The sequence below is a fragment of the Homo sapiens genome, chromosome 3, assembly GCF_000001405.40.
Source record: "Homo sapiens chromosome 3, GRCh38.p14 Primary Assembly".
Taxonomy (NCBI): Eukaryota; Metazoa; Chordata; class Mammalia; order Primates; family Hominidae; genus Homo; species Homo sapiens.
Window position 1 is genome coordinate 136,095,484 of NC_000003.12, and position 26,985 is coordinate 136,122,468.

Genomic DNA, 26,985 nt, shown 5'->3' on the forward strand with positions numbered 1-26,985 from the left:
AGAAGCTCTAAGAGACTGTGCAGCTAGTAAGTGTCCTAGCTTGGATTCAGACTCAGGTTTGTATCTCTCCCAAACCTGGACTCTACCACTATATGGCCTGTCATCCAGATGCCATTCATTTGCATGTCTACCTTCTTTCCAAGTAGGCTGTAGACTCCCTAAAAGAGAGTTCTTTTTGTGTCATGAAATTGCTTGTTGCTTAAGAGAATCAAAATTAGGCCAATTATATAAGAAAATAACTACTGATTTTGCCCATTGATACTTGTTTCCTTGGTTTCTAGTGGCACTTACTAGGTACCCTGCATGTTATTCTCAGTGGTTCACATTGCTTTACTAAAGCAGAGTGTGAGCAGAAAATAGTGTCCACCATTTTGGCAAAAATGTCAGTACAGATGCTCCTCCACTTACAGTAGGGCTACATCCTGGTAAACTCAGCATCACTTGAAAATATAAGTCAAAAATTATTTAATACACCTAACCTACTGAACATTATACCTTAGTCTAGCCAGCCTTAAATATGCTCAGAACACATCTTAGCCTACATTTGGGCAAAATCATCTAGCACAAAGCCTACTTTATAATAAAGTATTGAGTATCTCATATAATTTATTGAATACTGTACTGAAAGTGAAAACAGAATGATTGTATTGGTACTTAAAGTGCAGTTTCTAATGAGTGCATGTGGCTTTCACCCCATTGTAAAGTCAAAAAATTCTAAGTCAAACCATCATAAGTCAGGGACTGTCTATAGAATGAAAATCAAACTCTTATTTAAGAAAATGGAACAGGCACCACTTTGCAGAAATGGGGTTTCTGGCTTATGAATTACATGGGTTGAAAAAATGAATTTCCTAAAAAAAGTAATACATTCACTAAGGTGTGATTAATCCTGCGTGAAATGCTGCGTACGAAATTAGGATCTAGAGTCTTTCCTATGCCTGGTAACAGAGGTAGATATGGGAAGAATCTGGGTAGATTGTTTTCTGTGGACAAACTCTTGCAAACCCTCTTTTAGTATGTCCTTTAATCTCTCTGTCCTGGTTTTTATCATATTCTGCTTCTACCTTAGTCATCTGGCTAGATATCATCTCCAGGAGCTATTTCATTCACCTTTGTTATGCCTAAGGGCACTAGGCCAGTGCTTTTCACAGTAGTAAATAATAAAATATGTATATTGAATATGCAACAGAATATACATTTAATTACTGCCTAAGCAATAATGGAGTTTCCAGTAACTTTCTTCTTGAGTAGCATACAGGAGTTTATATTAGGGGTAAGAAATCACTTGCTCAGCACTTAATTTCATTCAGTCCAAGGAAAGGACAAGAAGTAATCTTAGCTCATGGCTGTAGTCCCAGCTACTTGGGAGGCTGAGGCACAAGAATCGCTTGAACCCGGGGGTTGGGGAGGAGGTGAGGAAGGTTGCAGTGAGCTGCGATCATGTCACTGCACTCCAGCCTGGGTGACAGAGCGAGACTTTGTCTCACACACACACAAAAAATGTAATTTTGTTTATGTCTACAATATTAGAAATATAATTTGTCATTAATATCATTATGCTTTGAAAAACCAAATATTGGTGGTAAATATAGCAGAAATCTAACACTAGTGCTCTCTGGTCAGTTATTCCTTCTGTGTTTTCTGTTTTCCAATTTTCCTACAATAAATAGTCAATACTTTTAGGCTCTGAGAAGATCAGTTACCTTTGGTAAGAAAAAAAAAAAAAGAATCTGCAATGAAAGAAACTTTAGAGAGTATCCAGTACTTTCAATAAGAAAATACCCTCTGAACATGTCCTGCATGTATTATCCATCCAGCCCCTGCTGCTAAACTTTTCAGGGACAAGTAACTATCCACTGAGGCAGCCTGTTCATTTTTCTCTTTCGTTCATTGATCCTTATAGTCTCCAATATTCAGAGAATTATATCTGTTTGATCTACCACATCTTTCAGATATTTAAAAGCAGTTATGTGCTTTTGGCAAATATTCAGGCAGTATATCTATCTTTGCATTCTAGCTTTCTTTCTCTCTTACGGGCTATTAACAAAGAACTGAAGGGTATGCTTTAGCTTTATTTATTGTAAAGAGAAGATTGTCTTAGTTCTTAATTGAAAATGCAAGTAATTAAATTATTTCAGTTTCTATTTCACAGTAAAATAAGTTGTCTTTCACTTCAGTCCTGTTAAATCCTTGGTCAAAATCAAGATTTACTTTATTCCCTTTTGCCTGATTTTGGTTCTCTTAAGATAATTAATGAGGAATTTCAAGACACAAAGAGATCTTAGAGGCCAGAGGCCACTCCCCTGCCCCTTTTGTACTGAAACCATTATTACTTAAAAAAAAAAGTCCCAACAGTGTAACAACCAGATATTATTACATGTATTGCAGCCCTCTGCTTATGAGATGTAACTCTTCAAGGTTTTCCCCACAATCAGGAATAGTTTGACAGTGGGGCAGCATTCTGCCCCTTTTATATTCTGAGAGTAGATATGATATGACTGAACCTCACCATAGCCAACCTATTACCTCACATTCATTAGGTTCAATGAATGTCCCCCTTTGTTCTTTAATAATAATGTTAAACATCAAGTTGGTACAATTTTTAAAATATATTTCTCAAAAAGACTTTGCCCACTCTGGGCAACATAGGAAGACCTGATCTCTACAAAAAGTTTTTAAAAAATTAGCCAGGTGTGGTGGTACATGCCTCTGGTCCCAGCTAGTCTGGAGGCTGAGGCAAGAGTCTCACTTGAGCCCAAGAGGTTGAGGCTGCAGTGAGCCATGATTGCAGTACTGCACTCCAGCCTGGGTAACAGAATGAGAGCCTATCTCAAAAACAAATAGTAAAAAACTTTTCAAGTATTACATGTTCAATTTTTTGCAATAATGTAAACTATATCTTTCTCAGAAAAGGTACACACAGATCTTAATGTGACTTACTTGAAAACAGTCAACAGTTACAACTTAGTTATTTTCACTTTTCTCTCCCCAAAGGAGATTTTCTTTTAACCATTAAAGGTGTGGTTCTTAATATGGTTTCAGGCCTACAAGTGGGAATTTGAACAGCGGTCTCCTAGAACCTTCTCTTGAAAAGTTTTACTTTGCCATGAATTTGTGGTTCTTTAGAAAAACATTGTTCCCTATTACCAATTAATGTTGTTGGCTTCATAAAGGAAATGAGAAATAATAACAAAGTATTGGAAACTGGAAAGCAAATAAACATAGCAGACTGCCTGAATCCTAAGCCAGCTGAGGGAAAAACCAAGAAGCAACCAGATATACCCAGCAAAACCTGCAGACATTCAGGATTTGGGGATACTAGGAACCTTGGAAGTGGGGGTGGGGTAAAGGTAAAGCCAAAACAGGAGAGTTTATAGAAAGTTTGTTTAAATGAACAGTTGATCTTCAGGTCATGTCCTCTACCCTAGCATAAAACTGGTGCTTTATTCCCTGGAGAACATAAAACAGAGGGTCTCCGGACTGGGGAGCATTGGGCACAGTTGAGATGTGAATGTGATCTTGAAAACAGATAAAATGAGTGTATGCATACTGAATGCTGAGACGCCCAGTCTTCATTCCTCACTCAGCTAACAGAATGCTGCCTACCTGCCCTGAACCTCCAAGCAAGAAACTGAAATGCTTTTCTGGGGAACTGACCTGCCCAAGAATAAAGACCTGAAGATTCGACACTGGGTCATCCCCAAGGAAAAAAACCAGCCCATTCATTTTACAGTAAAGCCCAGAGTCAACAAACCCACAGATCAGAACCTCCAATCAGCTTTTTAGCACCTACTCTCAAATATGAGCAGAGAACAGAGGATCACTAGATACCTGAGTAAAGCCTCTTGCACAAAAGATAAAGGCCAGACAAATAGAGGGGGAAAGATAACTTGGATGAAACAGACTTTCAGAGAAAATAAAACATTACAAGAAAAAAAACACAGTGATTAATATCCTCAGAGAGACTATGAGAAGAAATTAGAGTACAGGACATGAACAGAATGATACTTTCTATGAAAGGAACATTCAGGAAACCAAAAAGCTCTTTGAGTAATCAAAACTACAATAGCAGAAATAAAAAAACAATGTTTAGAAGATAAAGCTGTGTAACCCTCCCAGAAAGAAACCCCCTCCCCCAAAAAAGATGAAACAATAGGAAATAGAGACAAGATACGAAAATTGGAGAAACAGATCAAAAAAATTTTAATATAACTGGAAAATGAAATATGGTACAGGCCACATAGGTAATTTTAAAATTTAGCCACAATGGAAAAATTTAAAAATAGGTAAAATTAATTTTGTTGTATATCTGTTTTGTATTTGCACTGAGAAAACATCTCAAATTTGATTAGCCACATTTCAGATGCTCAAAAGGCCACATGCGGCTAGTAGCTATACCATTACTGGGCTATGTAGATCTCAATAACAGTTCTTAAAAAAAAAAAAAAAAGAGAAGGAGGGAAAGGGCAGGGAAGAGAGATACAAACATTTTCAAGGACTGAAGGATTCAGTTTCCAAACTGAATAGGCTCTCAGAAAAGCCCAGCCAAATAGATGAGCTAGATCTCAACCAAGGCCATCATGATATTTCAAACTACTAAGGACTCAGAGAAACCTCTGCGGGCTTCTAAGAGGCAAAAAACAAAATGGGTTACAGTCAAAGGAATAGATACCAATAAAGCTTTAGACTTCTCATCAATACTGGATAAACAATGGATCAATACTTTTTAAAGTATGAGGGAAAAGGCCAGGCGCAGGAGCTCACAACTAAAATTCCAGCACTTTGGGAGGCCAAGACAGGAGGATCCCTTGAGGCCAGGAGTTCGAGACCAGTGTGGGCAATATAGTGAGACCCTGTCTCTACCAAAAAAAAAAGAACTTTTATTATTATTATTATTAAAAATTAGCCAGGCTAGGCGCCGTGGCTCACGCCTGTAATCCCAGCACTTTGGGAGGCCTAGGCGGGCAGATCACCTGAGGTCAGAAATTCGAGACCAGCCTGGTCAATATGGTGAAACCCCGTCTCTCCTTAAAAAAAAAAAAAAAATTAGTTGAGCATGGCGGCAGGCACCTGTCATCCCAGCTACTTAGGAGGCTGAGGCAGAAGAATCACTTGAACCCGGGAGGCAGAGGTTGCGGTGCCAAGATCACACCACTGCACTCCAGCCTGGGCAATAGAGTGATAGAGTGAGATGCCATCTGAAAAAAAAATTTAGCTAGGCATCGTGGCATGCACCTGTAGTTCCAGCTACTTGGGAAGATTGCTTGAGGCCAGGAGTTCAAGGCTGCAGTGAGCCATGTTGTGCCTCTACTCCAGCCTGGGCAGCAGAGTGAGACCCCATCTCTAAAGTTAAAACAAAAAATCTGAAGGCAAAACACCACAAACCTCTAATTCTATAACTAGCCAAAATACCAACCATATTAGAGGGTAGAAAAAAGGCATTTTCAAAGACCCAAGATCTCAAAAAATGTACCTGCCATGCTCTTTCATTCAAGAAGCTACTAGAGAATGCGCAGAGTAACAAAATAATGAGGAAACAAAGAATGAGGAAAATGCAAGAAACAAGAATTAGGAGAAAGGCGAAAGGAATCCCTGGATGAAACTGAGCGAGGCCTAGAGACTAAGCAGCCCAGATTAGAGTAGGTCAGAAGCAACCAAGGAAGACTTCATCAAGAACATGCAATTGACAGAGCACCTCATGGAACTGAGTGTGGATTTAGACAACTGGCAGAATTTGGGGGTTGAATTAGTAGCAAGTACACAGAAAACTAAGCAAATAGATAAAAGAAAAATATAAAATTATAAATTCTGAATGTTGAGCAAGTTAACTGTGTTAAGAGGATGAGAAGGGCGTGTAGGTAAAGTGGTGACAAATTACAGAAGAACTAAAGTTCAACTTTCATAATGTGAAATCTACTTTTTGTTTGGTTGGTTGGTTGTTTAGTTGGTTTTTATCTTGAGGCGGGAGTCTCGTTCTTTCACCCAGGCTGGAGTGCAGCAGCGCAGTCTTGGCTCACTGCACCCTCCACCTCCCAGGTTCAAACAATCCTCCCACCTCAGCCGCCCAAGTAGCTGAGATTACAGGCATGCACCACCATGCGCAGCTAGTTTTTTGTATTTTTAGTAGAGATAGGGTTTCACCATGTTGGCCAGGCTGATCTCAAACTCCTGACCTGAAGTGATCTGCCCACCTCAGTCTCCCAAAGTGCTGGGATTACAGGCATGAGCCACCGTGCCCAGCCTCTAATAATAGTTCTGAAAATAAATACAAGAAAGGAGCGATATAGACGTGTTATCTGAAAATAGGAAGGTAAAAAGCAAAATGGGGTTGAACACGGTTGATTCTGGGTGGAAAAATAAAGGGAAGAAGGGGTCCGCCATTTTCTCTAACAAACTTTGTAAAACTATATCTAAGCCTGAAGTGTATGTAATATGTAACTTTTACTTTAAAAGAAACATACTAAATCTGGATAAATAAAAGGTCTTTACCAGGCCCATGATAATGATTGTCCTTATCATCTAGCATTGAGTATTGGTTCCGCTGCATGGATGTGGATGGAGACGGTGTACTCTCCATGTATGAGCTGGAGTACTTCTATGAGGAGCAGTGTGAACGGATGGAAGCCATGGGAATTGAGCCCTTGCCATTCCATGATTTACTGTGCCAGATGCTTGACCTAGTGAAGCCAGCTGTTGATGGTGAGACCAAGCAATGGGACAGATGCACTGTTCACCTATGTATCAGAGGAGGGCAAAGAATCCTAGATTGTCCTAAATTATTTAACATTTCAGAGTCTTGATAGAAGACTTCCTAGGACAGAAGTGTTTAAAGTTTCTCCTTGACTATTAGTGTAGCAACTTTTTTTTTTTTTTTTTTTTTTGAGATGCAGTCTCGCTTTGTCTGCCAGGCTGGAGTACAATGGTGTGATCTCAGCTCACTGCAACCTCCGCCTCCTGGGTTCAAGTGATTCTCCTGCCTCAGCCTCCCAAGTAGCTGGGACTACAGGCAACCACCACCATGCCCAGCTAATTTTTGTATTTTTAGTAGAGATGGGGTTTCACCATGTTGGCCAGGCTGGTCTCGAACTCCTGACCTCAGGTGATCCACCCACCTCGGTCTCCCAAAGTGCTGGGGTTACAGGCGTGAGTCACCATGCCCAGGCTTAGTGTAGCAATTGATGGCAAGTCTGCTATTTAAGAAATAGGATTTTACACCAGGCACAGTGGTGTATGCCTGTAGTCCCTGCTACTAAGGATGCTGAGGTGGGAGGATTGCATTATGATTGTTCCTGTGAGTAGCCACTGCACTCCAGCCTAGGCAACACAGCGAGACTGTATCTCTTTTTTAAAAAGAAAATGAAAGCGGGGTTTGGGGGATGAAAGAAGATTTTTCCTTAGACACAGAAAGCACATGAGGAGAGATGGGAGGGACTGCTTGATGGGCACAGAGTTTCCTTTTGGGGTGATGATATTATTACAGAACTAGATAGTGGTAATGGTTGTACAACATTGTGAGTGTACTAAAAGCCACTGAATTATGCACTTTAAAATTGTTTAAATGGTGAACTTTATTAGTGAATTTTACCTCAATAAAAGAAATGGGTTTGAGAAATTGATACCCTTGAAAAAAGAAATGAGATTTAAATTTTTTTATTCTGAAAATAGGACTTTTATAATAAACATATACCTATACTTTTAGATGTCAGGGAAAGTTTTTTCCTCTTGCCAAAACAGCTCTTGATGAAATTTACCAGATTTGTTTATTTTTATGTAGGCAAAATAACTCTAAGAGATCTGAAGAGGTGCAGAATGGCTCACATCTTCTATGACACTTTCTTTAATCTGGAGAAATACTTAGACCATGAACAGAGAGATCCCTTTGCGGTCCAGAAGGTAACAGTATAATTTTAACTTTTATTTGAGGGCTGCAGTGTCAGGGGCTGTGTGTGCTACATATTAACATGGTCTCTGCATGCTGGAATTTCGGTAAAGAGGTAACATTTGTAACATTTCATTAAAGACTAAAAAGAGACAATAAAGGACCTCTAGAGCACATGTCTCTCCACAGCCGATCGTCAGGTCTAAGTAACCTGCATCTGTGTAAGCACTTTCCACTGAGCGGACTCTATAGCTCATCTACTGATACACACACTGGAAACAAAAGAGTAGTTTTGAAAAAAAAATTGTCCTTCTAACTTTTAAAAATATATCAATAGGCACATCTGTATTAGAAACTATATTGGCCTTGATTCACTTGTACCATTCATTTCCAGGATTCCATGGTAAGTAGCTTTCCCCATCACGGTAAAAACTAGAGTTCTCCATGATAGAAAACCTTCAAATAATATAACGCCTTTTCACGTGTTAATGATTGCCGTTCATGGCTATCAGTTTTGAATGCATTCTACATCTGAATAAAGCTGAATATCCTTCCCCAGACACACAAACCTGTGGACCCTCAGAAAACCCTATACATACGATCCATGTTAAAAATAAAAACAATGTCACCCCTTGTTCTTACCATTCCTCTAAGAAGTAAAAATTATGTTAAGAACAGACTGTTGCAGTTGAGTAACAGTAAACTATAAGAAGCTTTTGCATTCTTTTTTCTTCTGCATGTTCCATAACTGTTTGACCTAAATAGTAGTAAGAATATGATCACCTTCTAAATAAGATAAATAAGAATTTATCGCCTTCCAAAAACAAATATTCTGCAGCTGACCTCAGCATATCAAGTTGCATTATCGCTGGCTTAAAGTCTGTTATGGTTCATTGAATTTAACATGCTCCATAATTTTATATTTGTTTCTTTCTTTGTGTGTGTGTGTGTGTGTGTGTGTGTGACAGAGTTTCGCTCTTGTTGCCCAGGCTGGAGTGCAATGGTGTGATCTCGGCTCACCGCAACCTCCGCCTCCCGGGTTCAAGTGATTCTCCTGCCTCAGTCTCCTGAGTAACTGGGATTACAGGCATGCACCACCACACCCAGCTAATTTTGTATTTTTTGTACAGACAAGGTTTCTCCATATTGGTCAGGCTGGTCTCGAACTCCCGACCTTAGGTGATCTGCCCACCTAGGCCTCCCAAAGTGCTGGGATTACAGGCGTGAGCTGGCTGTGCCCAGCCTGTTTTATAGTTCTCTAAGCAAAAACAAAACCCCAAACATTGCCAGTTGTAAGCCTATAATGCATTGCAATTTTATAAATGTTAGAAGGATAGAGATGGGGTCTTAAAAGGAGTTAAATATAGTAATTAATAGTGGTCATTGTTTAGGAACTTAACATTATTCTTGGCATAACTAACTCTAGACCCTAGGGCAATACTAACTCATGTTCGGCTTGGAAAGACATTTTATCTGAAACATAAAATTTCAAGAAAATTCACAAAAGTGTGTGGTCTTTTCCCTCTTCACTTATTTTCTTTGTGTTACCATTTTTACTCTAAAAAAATTACCTTTAAATTTTACTTTTTTTAATAAATGGTATAATTATTGATATTTGTTCTGATCTACAAAGAACATTATTAGTCAGTGCTTAATAAATTCTGGGCACTGTGTTGAAGAGATACTGGATATATGGAGATGGCAGAGATACAAGAACAAAAGGTGGCAACCAAAGTATCTACATTAGGAAAAAGGAAGTGATATGGAGAGAAGGGCTGTTTCCAGGAAGCTATCACAGACAGCGTGGTATCTGAGTTGGCTTTTAAAGAACAAAAATTTGCCAGCGAATGGGGGCTTGGGGAAGGTACATTTCAGGCGGGCCTGTGGCAAACCACAAGTCACTCCAGGTGGCTGCTGTGCAAAGTGCCAGAGGAGAGGGGACCAGAGAAATGTCTCTGATTACAAGGCTAAAGAGTAGACTTACCAGGTGCTATGGCTTGTGCTTGTAATCCCAGCTACTTAGGAAGCTAAGACGGGAGGATCACTTGAGGCCAGGGGTTCAAGACCAGCCTGGGCAACATAGTGAGCCCCTGTGTCTACAAAAAAATTTTAAAATTAGCAGGGCATGGTGGTATGCCTGCATTCTCAACTACTTAGTAGGTGGAATGCCTGTAGTCTCAGCTACTCAGTAGGCTGAGGCAGGAGAATCACTTGAGCCCAGATTCTGAGGTTAGCAGTAAGCTATTGGTGCACCACTGCACTCCAGACTAGGCAACAGAGTGAGACCCTATCTCTTTTAAAAAAAAGAGTTGGAATCAGCCAGCCACGGTGGCTCACACCTGTAATCCCAGCACTTTGGGACGCTGAGGCGGGCAGATCACCTGAGGTCAGGAGTTCGAGACCAGCCTGGCCAACATGGCGAAACCCTGTCTCTACAAAATACAAAAATTAGCTGGACGTGGTGGTACTTGCCTGTAGTCCCAGCTACTTGGGAGGCTGAGGCAGGAGAATTGCTTGAACCCAGGAGGCAGAGGCTGCAGTGAGCCGAGATCGTGCCACTATACTCCAGCCTGGGTGACAGAGTGAGATTCTATCTCAAAAAGAAAAAAAAAGAAAAAAGAAAAAAATGGAATCTATACCTAAAAAACCTGGCTGCTAAACAGTTATAATTTTGCCATTTGAGGTGTAGAAAATTACCTTAGGAGTTTTACCTTAGCACCTCTTTTAAACCTGTTGAAATGAAACATTTTTCAGGTAGGATTTTTTCAGCAGTATACATTTGTGTGATGATCTATCTCCAATTCTTTGTCTTTGATTTTTTTTATTTCTCGTGGCTGTCTTCTTTCCAATCAGGATGTTGAGAACGATGGGCCTGAGCCCTCAGACTGGGACCGGTTTGCCGCTGAGGAGTATGAGACGCTTGTTGCAGAGGAATCTGCCCAAGCACAATTCCAGGAAGGGTGAGTAAGTTTCCCTATGTCTTATAGAATTTTTAACAGGAATGCGCATGTCCAGAGTATTAAAACCCCCTTACAAAATCCTTTTCTGTTTTTTCCATTTTTGAATAGCATAAAAATGTGATTTAGCCAACTTTAGTTAAATGATTATTTTTTCCAGCAATCTTCACTCATTTCCTGACAGAGTCTTCTCATGTCCATTTCCTTTAATGAGTCTCATCTTTCACTGGAAACCGAGATCACTGAACAATCAAACTACTGTTTTAGTGATATTGATAAACCCTGTACATAAAGGAGGAGGCTAAAAGAACTAAAGCTCTGGCCGGGCACGGTGGCTCACGCCTGTAATCTCAGCACTTTGGGAGGCCGAGGCGGGTGGATAACCAGAGGTCGGGAGTTTGAAACCAGCCTGACCAACATGGAGAAACCCTGTCTCCACTAAAAATACAAAAAAATTAGCCGGGTATGGTGGTGCATGCCTGTAATCCCAGCTACTTGGAAGGCTGAGGCAGGAGAATCGGCTTTTACCCGGGAGGCAGAGGTTGCAGTGAGCCGAGATCATGCCATTGCACTCCAGCTTGGGCAACAAGAGCAAAACTCCGTCTCCAAAAAAAAAAAAAAAAAAAAAAAAAAAACTAAAGCTCCTTCAATAATAATAAAGATGATCATGTTTAGAACAAATCTTTATTATACATGGTTTTGTGCAGGAAGTAACTTCTACATGTATTTCTACTAGTCAGGGCATAATTCCATAAAGGGACCATGTTAAGAAATTTAATTATCCAAGAATTTGACTCCTTGGATCACTTCAGCAACTTTATAATTTGCTGGTTTTTTCCATCATCTTCTAGTAACTCCTTTTGTAATTCTTCTAATTCTTCCTTAGTCATAGCTTCTGTAAAGGCCTCAATTAATCTTTCTCATTAATGTAGTGTACTTTTTGAACAGGCACTATTCATATAATATTCAAAGAAACAAAAGAAATAGTAAAAAGTTTCCTACTACCCACTTCTCCTCCCCAGAAGCAACAAGTGTCATCATGTTCTTGCTTACTCTTCCAAAGAGCCTCTCTCTCCACCTATCTATGTATATTTAGAAAGATACATGAATTCTTTTTTTTTTTTTTTTTTTTTTTTGAGACAGTCTCAAATGTGGTCTCTGATGTGGTCCATTCAGGTCAGCCTCCTGAGGCATAGAGATAGAGGAAGAGCAGGTCTAGAGGGATAAACAGAAACTATCCAGCCCCATAGATAAAGTCAAATAGTCCTCAATATAGATTGTACCATTTTATACCTCTACCATTCATTAAATATTATCTTTTTTGAGGGTGCTGAACAAGCCATCAGCAAAGAGCTTTCTTTCACTGAGAGATTTCTTTAACCTGCTTAGCCACAAAACTAGGATTTCATTTTTATGGCAGTGACCTGGAAACCCTTAAAATCATTCATCGTGCACTCAGTATCTTAAGCCTGACTGCATCAGAATATAGGAAAATGGATTCACAAGCATGATTTAAAGGTTTTTTTGGCATTGAGCTTCCATACTAGGAATTAGGGTTAGCATACCAATCTTAAGAAGCAACAATGCTGCAGTTAAGAATATGTGTGGATTGGCCAGGCGCAGTCACTCATGGCTGTAATCCCAGCACTTTGGGAGGCTGAGGCAAACAGATCACTTGAGCCCAGGAGTTCGAGACCAGCCTGGGCAATGTGGCGAAACCCCATCTCTACAAAAAATACAAAAGTTAGCCAGGTGTGATGGTGTGTGCCTGTAGTCCCAGCTACTCAGGAGGCTGAGGTGGGAGGATCACTTGAGTATGGGAGGCAGAGGCTGCAGTGAGCTGAGATTATGCCATTGCACTCCAGCCTGGCCTGCAGAGCTAGCTAGACCCTGACACACACACACACAGCAAGTGTGGATGTTTATAATAGTGAAAATTTGGAGGCAATCTAGGTATCTAATGGGAAGATTAATAAAATTATACTACATGTACCCAGTACAGTTCCATTAAGCATTAAAATCATTTTGTGGATGTGTACTTCTGGACTTTAATTAGGAAAAACGGGATGAGGAAGAAGACTATGAAAGATCAAGTAAAATGTAATAGAAAAGAAACAAAAAAAGTATCCAAAAGAAAATTAGGTATAGGTAAGGAAAGCAAATGGGATCTTATTTATGTGTTTTAGACAAAAGAATATATGAAATAGTAAAGTATATTAAAAGACAATAGGAAAGCTTTTTTGAAATAAAAGAAAACCTGAATAGGAAAGGTCAGAAATCACGCCATATCCAGGAAATACTGATAATGAATAGTGATGGACCCCAGATTTGCATTGTGAATTTACTAGAACTCAAGGATGAATAAAGGTTTATCATTGGGTTTTTTTTTTCCAGTTTTAAAAATTCAAGTCACCAGACAACTGGTAAATAAATAAATAAATAAATCAGCATGCCTCAGTAAAATTGAATACTGAAAGACCATGAAACAATGTTTGCAACTTCCTCAGAGAAAGAAGCTCTATACCCAAGAATTTTAGACCAAGCCAAGATGGTATTCAAGCATAAAGATGCTGATAGATATTGTCAAACATACGAGAACTAGAGATTATATAGTACCCAGGAGCTCTTCTTTAAAAAGTACATAATCATAAAACCAAGAGACAAGCCAAAATAAAAAGCCGGAAATGAGCAGCCATGGTAGAAAAGAAATAATAGTGAGCATTCAATCCATTTAAATGTAGAAATGAGGCTAAACAACTATGGGCATTAAAAGAGAGCAGAACATAATATTCCATAAGAAAAAAATAGTGTAACTGAAGATGTAAAAATGAGGAAGTAAATATATGTGTAAGTTTCATTAGCAGGGTCTCAACAGATGCTCTCAAAAGCTGATAAGTTGGGGTTTAAGAAAATTATAATAAGCTGTTACAAAACTAAAGCCAGACTAACTATTCTAATTAAATCAGAAAACATGTACACACAAAAGAAAAACACAGACCATGCGGCATAAACTAAAGATGCCAGAACTAACGCAAATATTTCTAGATCAGTGAATGTAAAAGGAATAAAGTCACTTATCAAAATAAAAAGATTCAATTATTGAATGACAACAACAAAGGTTGAATATAAAAATAATTAAGACCCCCAAAAAAACTGTCTTGATAACATCAGATTTTTAAAGCAAAAACAAAAAAGGAGAAATTGAAACCTATTACTTGAAGACACAGTAAAGTATTCCCTTAAGATAGATAAAAATACCTTTGTGGTTTATGTTCATAGATCATTTACAAAATACATATTAGGCCACAAACAACACTTCAGTGGACTTCTAAAAACTAGCATTAATATAGTAATATAGACCAGCATTAGACTCAGCATCTGAGTTAAACTGAAAGTATGCTATAGTTTTCAGTTTCAAACCACATAAAAGTAAGAAATACAGAATATCACTTAGAAGAGAAACTTTCAGCGGGCCACTAAAAGAAGGAAAGCAGATGGGATCAAAATGAAGGAGCCAGCAGCTTAGATTCTTCATAGTAGAATGTATAAAATAATTAGACAGGTAATGGGAGTAGCACTTAATGATCTCTACCTGAATTTGACTGAAACCAATAGCAAGAAGAAGACCAGAAGAAGATGTGTCTAGGTAGGTCAACTCCTGTATATCCCACCCTACCCCTAAAGGAAAGACAAAAGCCCTGACTATGGAGCTTGGAACAGAGAAAGCCCAGTCACTGAAATAGCTACACCTCAGCAACATATCACATCCCATCTCATTCTGTCCCCAACTCATATCCCTGTTCTCATTAAAAACCCCAACAACCCCACCGCCCCTTCCTAAGCAGCCAGTGAGAACAGAAGCAGCAGTCTGTTCTCAACTACTTAAAAGGTGGACAAATATCAAACAGTTAAGAAATATCAATGAAATACTCAACAAATGGAAGAACTTATACCCTTGGAAGGAGACACAATCAGAACAAGACATCAAAATGAGCATATTTACTATTTTCAAAGGAATAAGAGAGAATATCACACTCCTAAACCAACACTAGAACCAGTTTCTTAGAAATGAAAGTTTTATTAAAAAAAAAATGCAGCCATTGGACTGAATAATAGAATGGAAAAAACTGAAAAGTTTTTGATTTGGGATACTGGCGTAAGAAATCCTCTTTGGAAGCAATAGAAATAATAGCTTAATAATTCCGAGAATTTTAGTTGTTTGAGCAAATAAAAAGATACACAGGAGAAGGAATCAGCAATTTTTTTCTAACCAGTTATAAATACTTGAGGCTTTGTGGGCCTCTGCCACAACTAAGCAGCCATTGATAATATGTAAGCAAGTGTATGTGGCTATGTTCCAATAAAACTTTAGTAACAGACACTGAGCTATTCATTTCATATTATTTTCATGTCACAAATATTCTTTTGTTTTTCAAACTTAAAAATGTAAAACTATTTTTAGCTCACAGGCTGTACCAAAGCAGATGGCAAGATAGGTTTGGCCCACAGACTATAGTTGTCAACCTCTGTGAGTGAAATTTCAGAATACGAAAGATAGGAAAGGTCTGAAGATCTACCAGAAAGAAAAAAACATTATCCATAAAGTGTACACAAAAAGAAATGGAACAAAATTATTCAAGTACTGCAAAAAAAATAACTACAAACCTAAAATTCTGTTCTTACTCAAATGTGAGGGACAAATAAAGACATTTTCAGGCTTGTAAAAAGAGGTGCAAAAAGTATACCACAGAATATCTCTGAAACAAATATTAAATGATATTCTTCAGCAAGAAGGTAAATGGATCCTAGAGGAAACAGTGGGAGGAAAGAAGCAATTGTGAGCAATAAAAATAGTAAAAATTATTCTTAGGACTAAATAAGTATTGATCACAGATATATAAGAGAGAAAAAGGAATTGGAGTAATATCCTATGGTTCTTATTTGTATAAGAGTAGAGAAATATAGACATTGATAAAGTTGTATTTCTCCAACAATGGTTAAAGTATGTCTGTTAAAAATTTAAGATATTTTCACTAGAAGAATAAAAATAAAATGGAAAACTTTCATATCAGTTTCAGAAAAAGGTTATTAACTGAAAAAAATTGAGTAAAAACTCAAACTACTTGAAAGTACATTAATCAGCATTCTTCTGGTGGCAAGTTACCTAAACTCCGCTCAAAGTAGCAATAAGCCAAACTTCTTCATACATACAAACTAGAAAACTTAGAAGAAATTGATAAATTCCTGAAAACATACAACCTCCTAAGATTGAACCAGGAATAAACCGAAACACTGAACAGACCAGTAATGAGTTCTGAACTTGATCAGTAATTAAAAAAAAAAAACTACCAATCAGATAAAACCCTGGACTAGACAGATTCACAGCCAAATTCTTCCAGATGTATAAAGAAGAGCTGGTACCAATCCTGCTGAAATTATTTCAAAAAATCAAGGAGGGACTCCTCTCTAACTCATTCTGTGAGGATAGCATCATTCTGATACTAAAACCTGGCAGACACAATAAAAAAAACTTCAGGCCAATATCCTTGATGAACATACACACAAAAACCCACAACAAAATAGTAGCAAATTAAATTCAGCAGCACATCAAAAAGCTAATCCACCACAATCATGTAGGCTTTATTCCTGGGATACGAGGTTGGTTCAACATATGCAAACCAATAAATGCAATTCGTCACATGAATAGAACAAAAAACAAAAACCACATGGTCATCTTAATGGACACAGAAAAGGCTTTTGATAAAATTCAGCACCCCTTCATGTTAAAAACCCTCAACAAACTGGCATCTAAGGAACATACCTCAAAATAATAAGGGCCATCTATGACAAACCCACAGCCAGCGTCACAATGAATGGGCAAAAGCTGGAAGCATTCCCCTTGAGACCCAGAAGAAGATAAATATGCCCATTCTCACCACTGCTATTCAACATAGTGATGGAAGTCCTATCCAGAGCAATCAGGGAACAGAAAGAAAACTCATCAAAATAGGAAGAGAGAAAGTCAAGCTATCCGTCTTTGCAGATGATATAATTCTATACCTAGAAAACCCATAGTATCTACCCAAAGGCTCCTAGATCTGATAAACGACTTCAGTAAGGTTTCAGGATACAAAATCAGTGTACAAAAATCAGCAGCATTTCTATACACCAACAGCATTCAAGCTGAGAGCCAAATGAAGAGCACAATCCCATTTGCAATAGCCACAAAAAGAATAAGATACCTGGGAATAAGGGATGTGAAAGATCTCTCTACAACAGTAATTACAAATCACTGCCAAAAGAAATCACAGACAACATTAAAAAATGGAAAAACATTCTATGCTCATGGATAGCAAGAATCAATATTGTTAAAATGACCATGCTGCCCATTGTGCTCGTGGACAGGAAGAATCAATATTGTTAACATGGGCATACTACCCAAAGCAATCTACAGATTCAGTGCTATTCCTATCATACTACCAACATCATTTTTCAAAGAATTTGAAAAAAACTATTACAAAATTCATATGAAGCTGGGCGCGGTGGCTCATGCCTGTAATCCCAGCACTTTGGGAGGCTGAGGCAGGTGGATCACCTGAGGTCAGGAGTTCAAGACCAGCCTGGCCAACATGATAAAACCCCGTCTCTACTAAAACTACAAAAATGAGCCAGGTGTGGTGGCAGACACCTGTAATGCCAGCTACTCGGGAGGCTGAGGCAGGAAAATCGCTTGAGCCCAGGAGGTGGAGGTTGCAGTGAGCTGGGATCACACCACTGCACTCCAACCTGGGCAACAAAAGAAAAAAAAAATCATATGAAACAAAAAAAGCCCGAATAGCCAGAGCAACCCAAAGCAAAACAACAAAGCCAGGAGCATCACACTACCCAATTCAAACTATACTACAAGGCTGCAGTAACCAAAACAGCATGGTGCTGATACAAAAACAGACACACAGACTGCGTGGAACAAGATTATATGGAACACCAGTGGAACAGATTAGAGAACTCAAAAATGAAGCACACCTACAACCACCTGTTTTTTGACAAAGTTGATAGTAAGCAATGAGGAAAGAACTCCCTATTCAATAAATGGTGCTGGCTAATCATATGCATTAGATTGAAACTGGACCCCTTCCTTTCACCATATACAAAAGTCAATGCAAGATAGAATAAAGACTTAAATGTAAGGCTGGCCATGGTGACTCATGCTTGTAATCCCAGCACTTTTTGGGAGGCCAAGGCGGGAGGATCACTTGAGGCTAGGAGTTCGAGACTAGCCTGGTCAACATGGCAAAACCCTATCTCTACTAAAAATACCAAACAAAAACAAAACAGTGTGGTAGCACTTGCCTGTAATCTCAGCTACTCAGGAGGCTGAGGCACAAGAAGCACTTGAACCTGGGAAGTGAAGGTTGCAGTGAGTTGAGATCGCACCACTGCACTCCAGCCTGGGCAACAGAGCAAGACCCTGTGTCAGAAAAAAAAAAAAAGAGAGAGACTTAAATGTAAGACCTAAAACTAGAAGAAAACCTGGGAAATAACATTCTCGACATAGGCCTTGGCAAAGATTTCATGATGAAGTCTCCAAAAGCATCTGCAACAAAAACAAAAGTAGACAAGTGGGGCCTAATTAAAGAGCTTCTGGAATTGCTGGCAAGATGGCCAAATAGGAGTAGCTCCAGTCTGCAGCTCCCAGCCAGATCGACACAGAAGGCAGGTGATTTCTGCATTCCCCGCTGAGGTACCCAGTTCATCTCATTGGGACTGGTTGGACAGTAGGTGCAGCCCATGGAGGGTGACCCGAAGCAGGGTGGGGCATCGCCTCACCCAGGAAGCAGAAGGGATCAGGGAATTCTCTCCCCTACCCAAGGGAAGTCATGAGGGATTGTGCCTGAGGAATGGTACACTCCGGCCAGATACTGTGCTTTTCCCACAGTCTTCACTACCCACAGACCAGGAGATTCTCTCCAGTGCCTACACCACCAGGGCCCTGAGTTTCAAGCACAAAACTGGGCAGCCATTCAGGCAGACACCGAGCTTCAGGAGTTGTTGTTTTTTTTGTTTTGTTTTGTTTTTCCCCATACCCCAGTGGTGCTTGGAATGCCAGCAAGACAAAACCATTCACTCCCCTGGAAGGGGGCTCAACCCAGGGAGCCAAGTGGTCTGGCTCAGTGGGTCCCACCCCCACAGAACCCAGCAAACTAAGATCCACTGGCTTGAAATTCTTGCTGCCAGCACAACAGTCTGAGGTCAACCTGGAACACTCCAGCTTGATGCAGGGAGGGGGGTCCAGCATTGCTGAGGCTTGAGTATGTGGTTTTACCCTCACAGTGTAAACAAAGCACTGGGAAGTTTGAAGTGGGAGCGCACCGCAGCTCACCAAGGCTGCTGTGGCCAGACTGCCTCTCTAGATTGCTCCTCTCTGGGCAGGGCATCTCTGGAAAAAAAGGCAGCAACTACAGTCAGGGACTTAGAGATGAAACTCCCATTTCCCTGGGATAGAGCATGTGGGGGAAGGGGCAACTGTGGGCGCAGCTTCAAAAGACTTAAACATCCCTGCCTGATGGCTCTGAAGAGAGCAGCAGACCTCCCAGCACAACGTTTGAGACTGCCTCCTCAAGTGGGTCCCTGACCTCCAGGTATCCTGACTGGGAGACACCTCCCAGTAGGGGCCAACAGACACCTCATACAGGAGAGTTCTGGCTGGCATCTGGCGGGTGTCCATCTGGGACGAAGCTTCCAGAGGAAAGAATAGGCAGCAATCTTTGCTGTTCTGCAGCCTCCGCTGATGATACCCAAGCAAAGAGTCTAGAGTGGACCTCCAGCAAACTCCAGCACACCTGCAGCAGAGGGGCCTGACTGTTAGAAGGAAAACTAACAAACAGAAAAGAATAGCATGTCTACTCAGAGACCCCATCCAAAGGTCACCAACACCAAAGACCAAAGGTAGATAAATCCACAAAGATGGGGAGAAACTAGTGCAAAGAGGCTGAAAATTCCAAAAACCAGAAGGCCTCTTCTCCTCCAAAGGATCACAACTCCTTGCCAGCAAGGGAACAAAACTGGACAGAGAATTAGTTTGACGAACTGACAGAAGTAGGCTTCAGAAGGTGGGTAATAACAAACTGCTCCAAACCAAAGGAACTTGTTCTAACCCAATGCAAGGAAGCTAAGAACCTTTAAAAAAGGGTAGATGAATTGCTAACTAGAATAACCAGCCTAAAGAACAACATAAATGACCTGATGGAGCTGAAACACACAGCACAAGAACCTCGTGAAGCATATACAACTATCAGTAGCCAAATCGACCAAGCAGAAGAAAGGATATCAGACATTGAAGATCAGCTTAATGAAATAAAACAAGAAGATTAGAGAAAAAAAGAATGAAAAGGAACGAACAAAGTCTCCAAGAAATATGGGACTATGTGAAAAGACCAGATCTACGTTTGATTGGTGAACCTGAAAGTGACGGGGAGAATGGAACCAAGTTGGAAAACACTCTTCAGGATATTATCCAGGAGAACTTTCCAAACCTAGCAAGACAGGCCAACATTCAAATTCAGGAAATACAGAGAACACCACAAAGATACCCCTTGAGAAGAGCAACCCCGAGACTTGTAAGCGTCAAATTCACCAAGGCTGAAATGAAGGAAAAAATGTTAAGGGCAGCCAGAGAGAAAAGTCTGGTTACCCACAAAGGGAAGCCCATCAAACCAACAGCAGATCTCTGCAGAAACCCTACAAGCCAGAAGAAGAAAGTGGGGACTGATATTCAACATTCTTAACGAATTTTCAACCCAGAATTTCATATCCAGCCAAACTGAGCTTCACAAGCGAAAGAGAAATAAAATCCTTTACAGACAAGCAAATGCTGAGAGATTTTGTCACCACCAGGCCTGCCCTAAAAGAGCTCCTGAAGGAAGCACTAAACATGGAGAGGAACAACCGGTACCAGCCACTGCAAAAACATACCAAATTGTAAAGACCATCGACACTACAAAGAAACTGCATCAACTAACGGACAAAATAACTAGCTAGCATCATAATGACAGGATCAGATTCACACATAACAATATTAACCTTAAATGTAAATGGGCTAAATGCCCCAGTTAAAAGACACAGACTGGCAAATTGGATAGAGTCAAGACCCATTGGTATGCTGTATTCAGGAGACCCATCTCATGTGCAAAGACACATATAGGCTCAAAAGTAAAAGGATGGAGGAATATTTACCAAGCAAATGGAAAGCAGAAAGAAGCAGGAGTTCCAATCCTAGTCTCTGATAAAACAGACTTTAAACCAACAAAGATCAAAAGAGACAAAGAAGGTCATTACATGATGGTAAAGGGATCAGTGCAACAAGAAGAGCTGACTGTCGTAAATATATATGCACCCAATACAGGAGCACCCAGATTCATTAAGCAAGTTCTCAGAGACCTACAAAGAGACTTAGACTCCCACACAATAATAGTGGGACACTTTAACACCCCAATGTCAGTATTAGATCAACAAGACCAAAAATTAACAAGGATATTCAGGACTTGAACTCAGCTCTGGACCAAGTGGACCTAAGCAACATCTACGGAACTCTCCACCCCAAATCAACAGAATATACATTCTCCTCAACACCACATCGCACTTATTCTACAATTGACCACATAATTGGAAGTAAAGCACTCCTCAGCAAATGTAAAAGAACAGAAATCACAACAAACTATCTCTCAGACCACAGTGCAATCAAATTAGAACTCGGGATTAAGAAACTCACTCAAACCTCACAACTACATGGAAACTAAACAACCTTCTCCTGAATGACTACTGGGTAAATAACGAAATGAAGGCAGAAATAAAGATGTTCTTTGAAACCAATGAGAACAAAGACACAAAGTACCAGAATCTCTGGGACACATTTAAAGCAGTGTATAGAGGGAAATTCATAGCACTAAATGCCCACAAGAGAAAGCAGGAAAGATCCAAAATCGACACCCTAACATCACAATTAAAAGAACTAGAGAAGCAAGAGCAAACAAAAAGCTAGCAGAAGCCAAGAAATAAGTAAGATCAGAGCAGAACTGAAAGAGATAGAGACATGAAAAGCCCTTCGAAAAATCAATGAATCCAGGAGCTGGTTTTTTGAAAAAATCAACAAAATAGACCTCTAGCCAGACTAATAAAGAAGAAAAGAGAGAAGAGTCAAATAGATGCAATAAAAAATGATAAAGGGGATATCACCACCGATCCCACAGAAATACAAACTACTGTCAGAGAATAGTATAAACACCTCTATGCAAATAAACTAGAAAATCTAGAAGAAATGGATAAATTCCTGGACACATACACCCTCCCAAGTCTAAACCAGGAAGAAGTTGAATCCCTGAATAGACCAATAACTTCTGAAATTGAGGCAGTAATTAATACCCTACAAACCAAAAAATGTCCAGGACCAGACAGATTAACAGCCGAATTCTACCAGAGGTACAAAGAGGAGCTGGTACCGTTCCTTCTGAAACTATTCCAATCAATAGAAAAAGAGGGAATCCTCCTTAACTGATTTTATGAGGCCAGCATCATCCTGATACCAAAGCCTGCCAGAGACACAACAAAAAAAGAGAATCTCAGGCCAGTATTCCTGATGAACATCGATGCGAAAATCCTCAATAAAATACTGGCAAACTGAATCCAGCAGCACATCAGAAAGCTTATCCACCATGATCAAGTGGGCCTCATCCCTGGGATGCAAGGCTGGTTCAACATATGCAAAACAGTAAATGTAATTCCATCACATAAACAGAACCAGTGACAAAAACCGCATGGTTATCTCAATAGATGTAGAAAAGGCCTTCGACAAAATTCAACAGCCCTTCATGCTAAATGCTCTCAATAAACTAGGTATTGATGGAACACAGTCTCAAAATAATAAGAGCTATTTATGACAAACCCACAGCCAGTATCATACTGAATGGGCAAAAACTGGAAACATTCCCTTTGATAACCAGCACGAGACAAGGATGTCCTCTCACCACTCGTATTCAACATAGTATTTGAAGTTCTGCCCAGGGCAATCAGGCAACAGAAAGAAATAAATGGTATTCAAATAGGAAAAGAGGAAGTCAAATTGTCCCTGTTTGCAGATGACATGATTGTATATTTAGAAAACCCCATCATCTCAGCCCAAAATCTCCTTAAGCTGATGAGCAACTTCAGCAAAGTCTCAGGATACAAAATCAGTGTGCAGAAATCACAAGCATTCCTATACACCAATAACAGACAAACAGAGAACCAAATCATGAGTGAACTCCCATTCACAATAGCTTCAAAGAGAATAAAATTCCTGGGAATCCAGCTTACAAGGGATGTGAAGGACCTCTTCAAGAACTACAAACCACTGCTCAATGAAATAAGAGAGGACACAAATGGGAAAATATTCCATGCCCATGGATAGGAAGAATAAATATTGTGAAAATGGCCATACTGACCAAAGTAATTTATAGATTCAATGCTATCCCCATCAAGCTACCACTGACTTTCTTCACAAAATTGGAAAAAACTACTTTAAACTTCATATGGAACCAAAAAAGAGCCCACATTGCCAAGCCAATCCTAAGCAAAAAGAACAAAGCAGGAGGCATCATGCTACCTGACTTCAAACTATACTACAAGGCTACAGTAACAAAAACAGCATGATACTGGTACCAAAACAGATATATAAACCAATGGAACAGAACAGAGGCCTCAGAAATAACACCACACATCTACAACCATCTGATCTTTGACAAACCTGACAAAAACAAGCAATGGGAAAAGGATTCCCTATTTAATAAATGGTGTTGGGAAAACTGGCTAGCCATATGCAGAAAACTGAAACTGGATCCCTTCCTTACACCTTATACAAAAATTAACTCAAGACAGATTAAAGACTTAAACGTAAGACCTAAAACATAAAAATCCTAGAAGAAAACCTAGGCAGTACCATTCAAGACATAGGCATGGGCAAAGACTTCATGTCTAAAACACCAAAAGCAATGGCAACAAAAGCCAAAATTGACAAATGGGATCTAATTAAACTAAAGAGTTTCTACACAGCAAAAGAAACTATGAGAGTGAACAGGCAACCTACAGAATGGGAGAAAATTTTTGCAATCTATCCATCTGACAGGGCTAATATCCAAAATCTACAAAGAACTTAAACAAATTAAGAAAAAAGCAACCTCATCAAAAAGCGGGTGAAGGATATGAACAGACACTTCTCAAAAGAAGACATTTATGCAGCCAACAAACATATGAAAAAAAGCTCATCATCACTGGTCATTAGAGAAATGCAAATCAAAATCACAATGAGATACCATCTCACACCAGTTAGAATGGCAATCATTAAAAAGTCAGGAAACAACAGATGCTGGAGAGGGTGTGGAGAATAGGAATGCTTTTACACTGTTTGTGGGAGTATAAGTTAGTTCAACCATTGTGGAAGACAGTATGACAATTCCTCAAGGATCTAGAACTAGAAATACCGTTTGACCCAGCAATTCCATTACTGAGTATGTACCCAAAGGGTTATAAATCATTCTGAAAGACACATGCACACATACGTTTATTGCGGCACTATTCACAATAGCAAAGACTTGGAACCAACCCAAATGTCCATCAGTGATAGACTGGATAAAGAAAATGTGGCACATATATGCCATGGAATACTATGCAGCCATAAAAAAGGATGAGTTCACGTCCTTTGCAGGGACATGGATGAAGCTGGAAACCATCATTCTCAGCAAACTAACACAGGGAGAGGGACCTTAACATATCCAGGCCTGTCCGGGGGGGGTGGGGGCTAGGGGAGTGATAGCATTAGGAGAAACACCTAATGTGGATGACGGGTTTGATGGGTGCAACAAACCACCATGGCATGTGTATACCTATGTAGCAAAACTGCACATTCTGTACATGTACCCCAGAACTTAAAGTATAATTTTTTAAAAAAAAGCCTCTGGTCGGGTGCAGTGGGTCACACCTGTAATCTCAGCACTTTGGGAGGCCAAGGCAGACAGATCACTTGAGGTCAGGAGCTCGAGACCAGCCTGAACAACATGGTGAAACCTCATCTCTACTAAAAACACAAAAATTAGCCGGGCAGGGTGGTGTGCGCCTGTAGTCCCAGCTATTAAGGAGGCCGAGGCAGGAGAATCACTTGAGCTTGGGAGGCGGAGGTTGCAGTGAGCCGATACCGTGCCACTGCACTCCAGCCTGAGAGACAGAGTGAGACTCTTGTCTCAAAAAAAAAAGTGCTTCTGCACAATAGAAGAAATTATTAACAGGGTAAACAGACAACCTGCAGAATGGGAGAAAATATTCTCAAACTGTGCATTTCACAGAGGTCTAATATTCAGCATCTATAAGGAACTTAAAAAAATCAACAAGGGAAAAACAGCCCCATTAAAAAATGCCCATAGGACATGAACAGACACTTCTCAAAAGTGAGACATACAAGCAGGCAACAAGCATATGAAAAAATGTTCAACATCACTAATCATTAGAGAAATGCAAATCAAAACCACAATGAGATACTATCTCACACCAGTCAGAAGGGCTATTCTTAAAAAGTTAAAAAAAAATCACAGATGTTGGCAGGGTTCCAGAGAAAAGGGAATGCACATACACTGCTGGTGGATGGGAATGTAAATTAGTTCAGCCACACTGTGGGGAGCAGTTTGGATATTTTTCAAGGAACTTAGAACTACATTCAACCCAGCAATCCCACTGCTGGGTATATATACCCAAAGGAAAATAAATGATTCTACCAAAAAGACACATGCACTTATACGTCCATCATATTCACAATAGCAAAGACATGGAATCAACCTAGATGCCTATCAGTGGTGGACTGAATAAAGAAAACATGGTACCTATACACCATGGAATACTATGCAGTCATTAAAAGAAAAGGAATGAAATCATGTCCTTTGCAGCAACATGGATGCAGCTGGAGGCCATTTTCCTAAGCAAATTAAAGCAGGAACAGAAAACCAAATACCTTATGTTCTCACTTATAGGTGGGAGCTAAACATTGAATACACATGCACACAAAGAAGGGAACAGTAGACACCAGGGCCTGCTTGAGGGTAGAGGATAGGAGGAGGGTGATAGTCAAAAAGCTACCTATCAAGTACTGTGCTACTACCTGGGTGGTGAAATCATGTGTACACCACAACCCAGCAACATGCAATTTACCCATGTAACAAACCTGCATAGGTACCCCTTGAATCTAAAATAAAAGTTGAAAAAGAAAAAAGAACTTCATAGGGAACAAAAACAATTTCTAAGAGATGAAAGCTTTAATAACTAACTGAATTGTAACTAATATTCTCGGAAAGAGAAGAGATTATATTAATAAATTTTGAATGGTTTTTTTAATGAAAAGTCAGGGAATGAGAGCTTCTGAAAATTAAAAATATATTAGTAAAAATGGAAACTCAGCAGAAGATTTGGAAGATGAAATTGAGAATATTTTCACTAAACTGTAATTCCAAATCTCAACATGCTAGGTTTTCACTTGATTATCTAACAGAAGTCTAGCTGATTTTTTTCCCAATGTTCCCTTCCAATGCAATACCTGAGAATTCTCAAAACATAAAATTCTGAAGGTTTAAAAATATATTTTAAGATAACCTTTAAGCAAAAAAGGAAATCTTTTGCTTAAAAAATCAAAAAAATACAAATTACGATCTTTTTAGAACCAGACAATGAAAGTATTCTATTTATTACAACCTGTGGGATATGGACAGGAAGAAATTTGTAGCCTGTATACTGAAATAAATGAATTAGGCAATCCATTCAAGATGCATGAAAAAGGATGACATAGCTGGGCACGGTGACTCACACCTGTAACCCCAACACTCTGGGAAGCTGAGGCGGAAGGATCACTTGAGCCCAGAAGTTTAACGTTATGGTGAACTATGATCACACCACTGCACTCCATCCTGGGTGACAAAGTGAGCCTCAGACTTGAAAAGAAACAGGATGACAAAATAAAGTACAACTCTCCCTCCATATATGTGAAGGATTGATTCCAGGACTGCCTGTGTGTACCCAAATTTGCATATAGTCAAGTCCCACAGTCAGCCTTGCAAAAACCCACATATATGAAAGTTTACC

At 39.6% G+C, this 26,985-nt stretch overlaps 1 protein-coding gene across 8 annotated transcripts in view; it reads left to right on the forward strand.

Annotated features, from left to right (window-relative positions):
• Positions 1–26,985, forward strand: part of PPP2R3A (protein phosphatase 2 regulatory subunit B''alpha) — a 182,167-nt gene that overhangs the window by 129,756 nt on the left and 25,426 nt on the right. For all 8 annotated transcript variants that reach the window (NM_002718.5, XM_017006787.3, NM_001190447.2 and 5 more), the window contains 3 exons: positions 6,524–6,699; positions 7,775–7,893; positions 10,733–10,839. In NM_002718.5, the coding sequence (NP_002709.2) occupies positions 6,524–6,699; positions 7,775–7,893; positions 10,733–10,839 (402 nt within the window). The remainder of the gene's footprint in view (positions 1–6,523; positions 6,700–7,774; positions 7,894–10,732; positions 10,840–26,985) is intronic.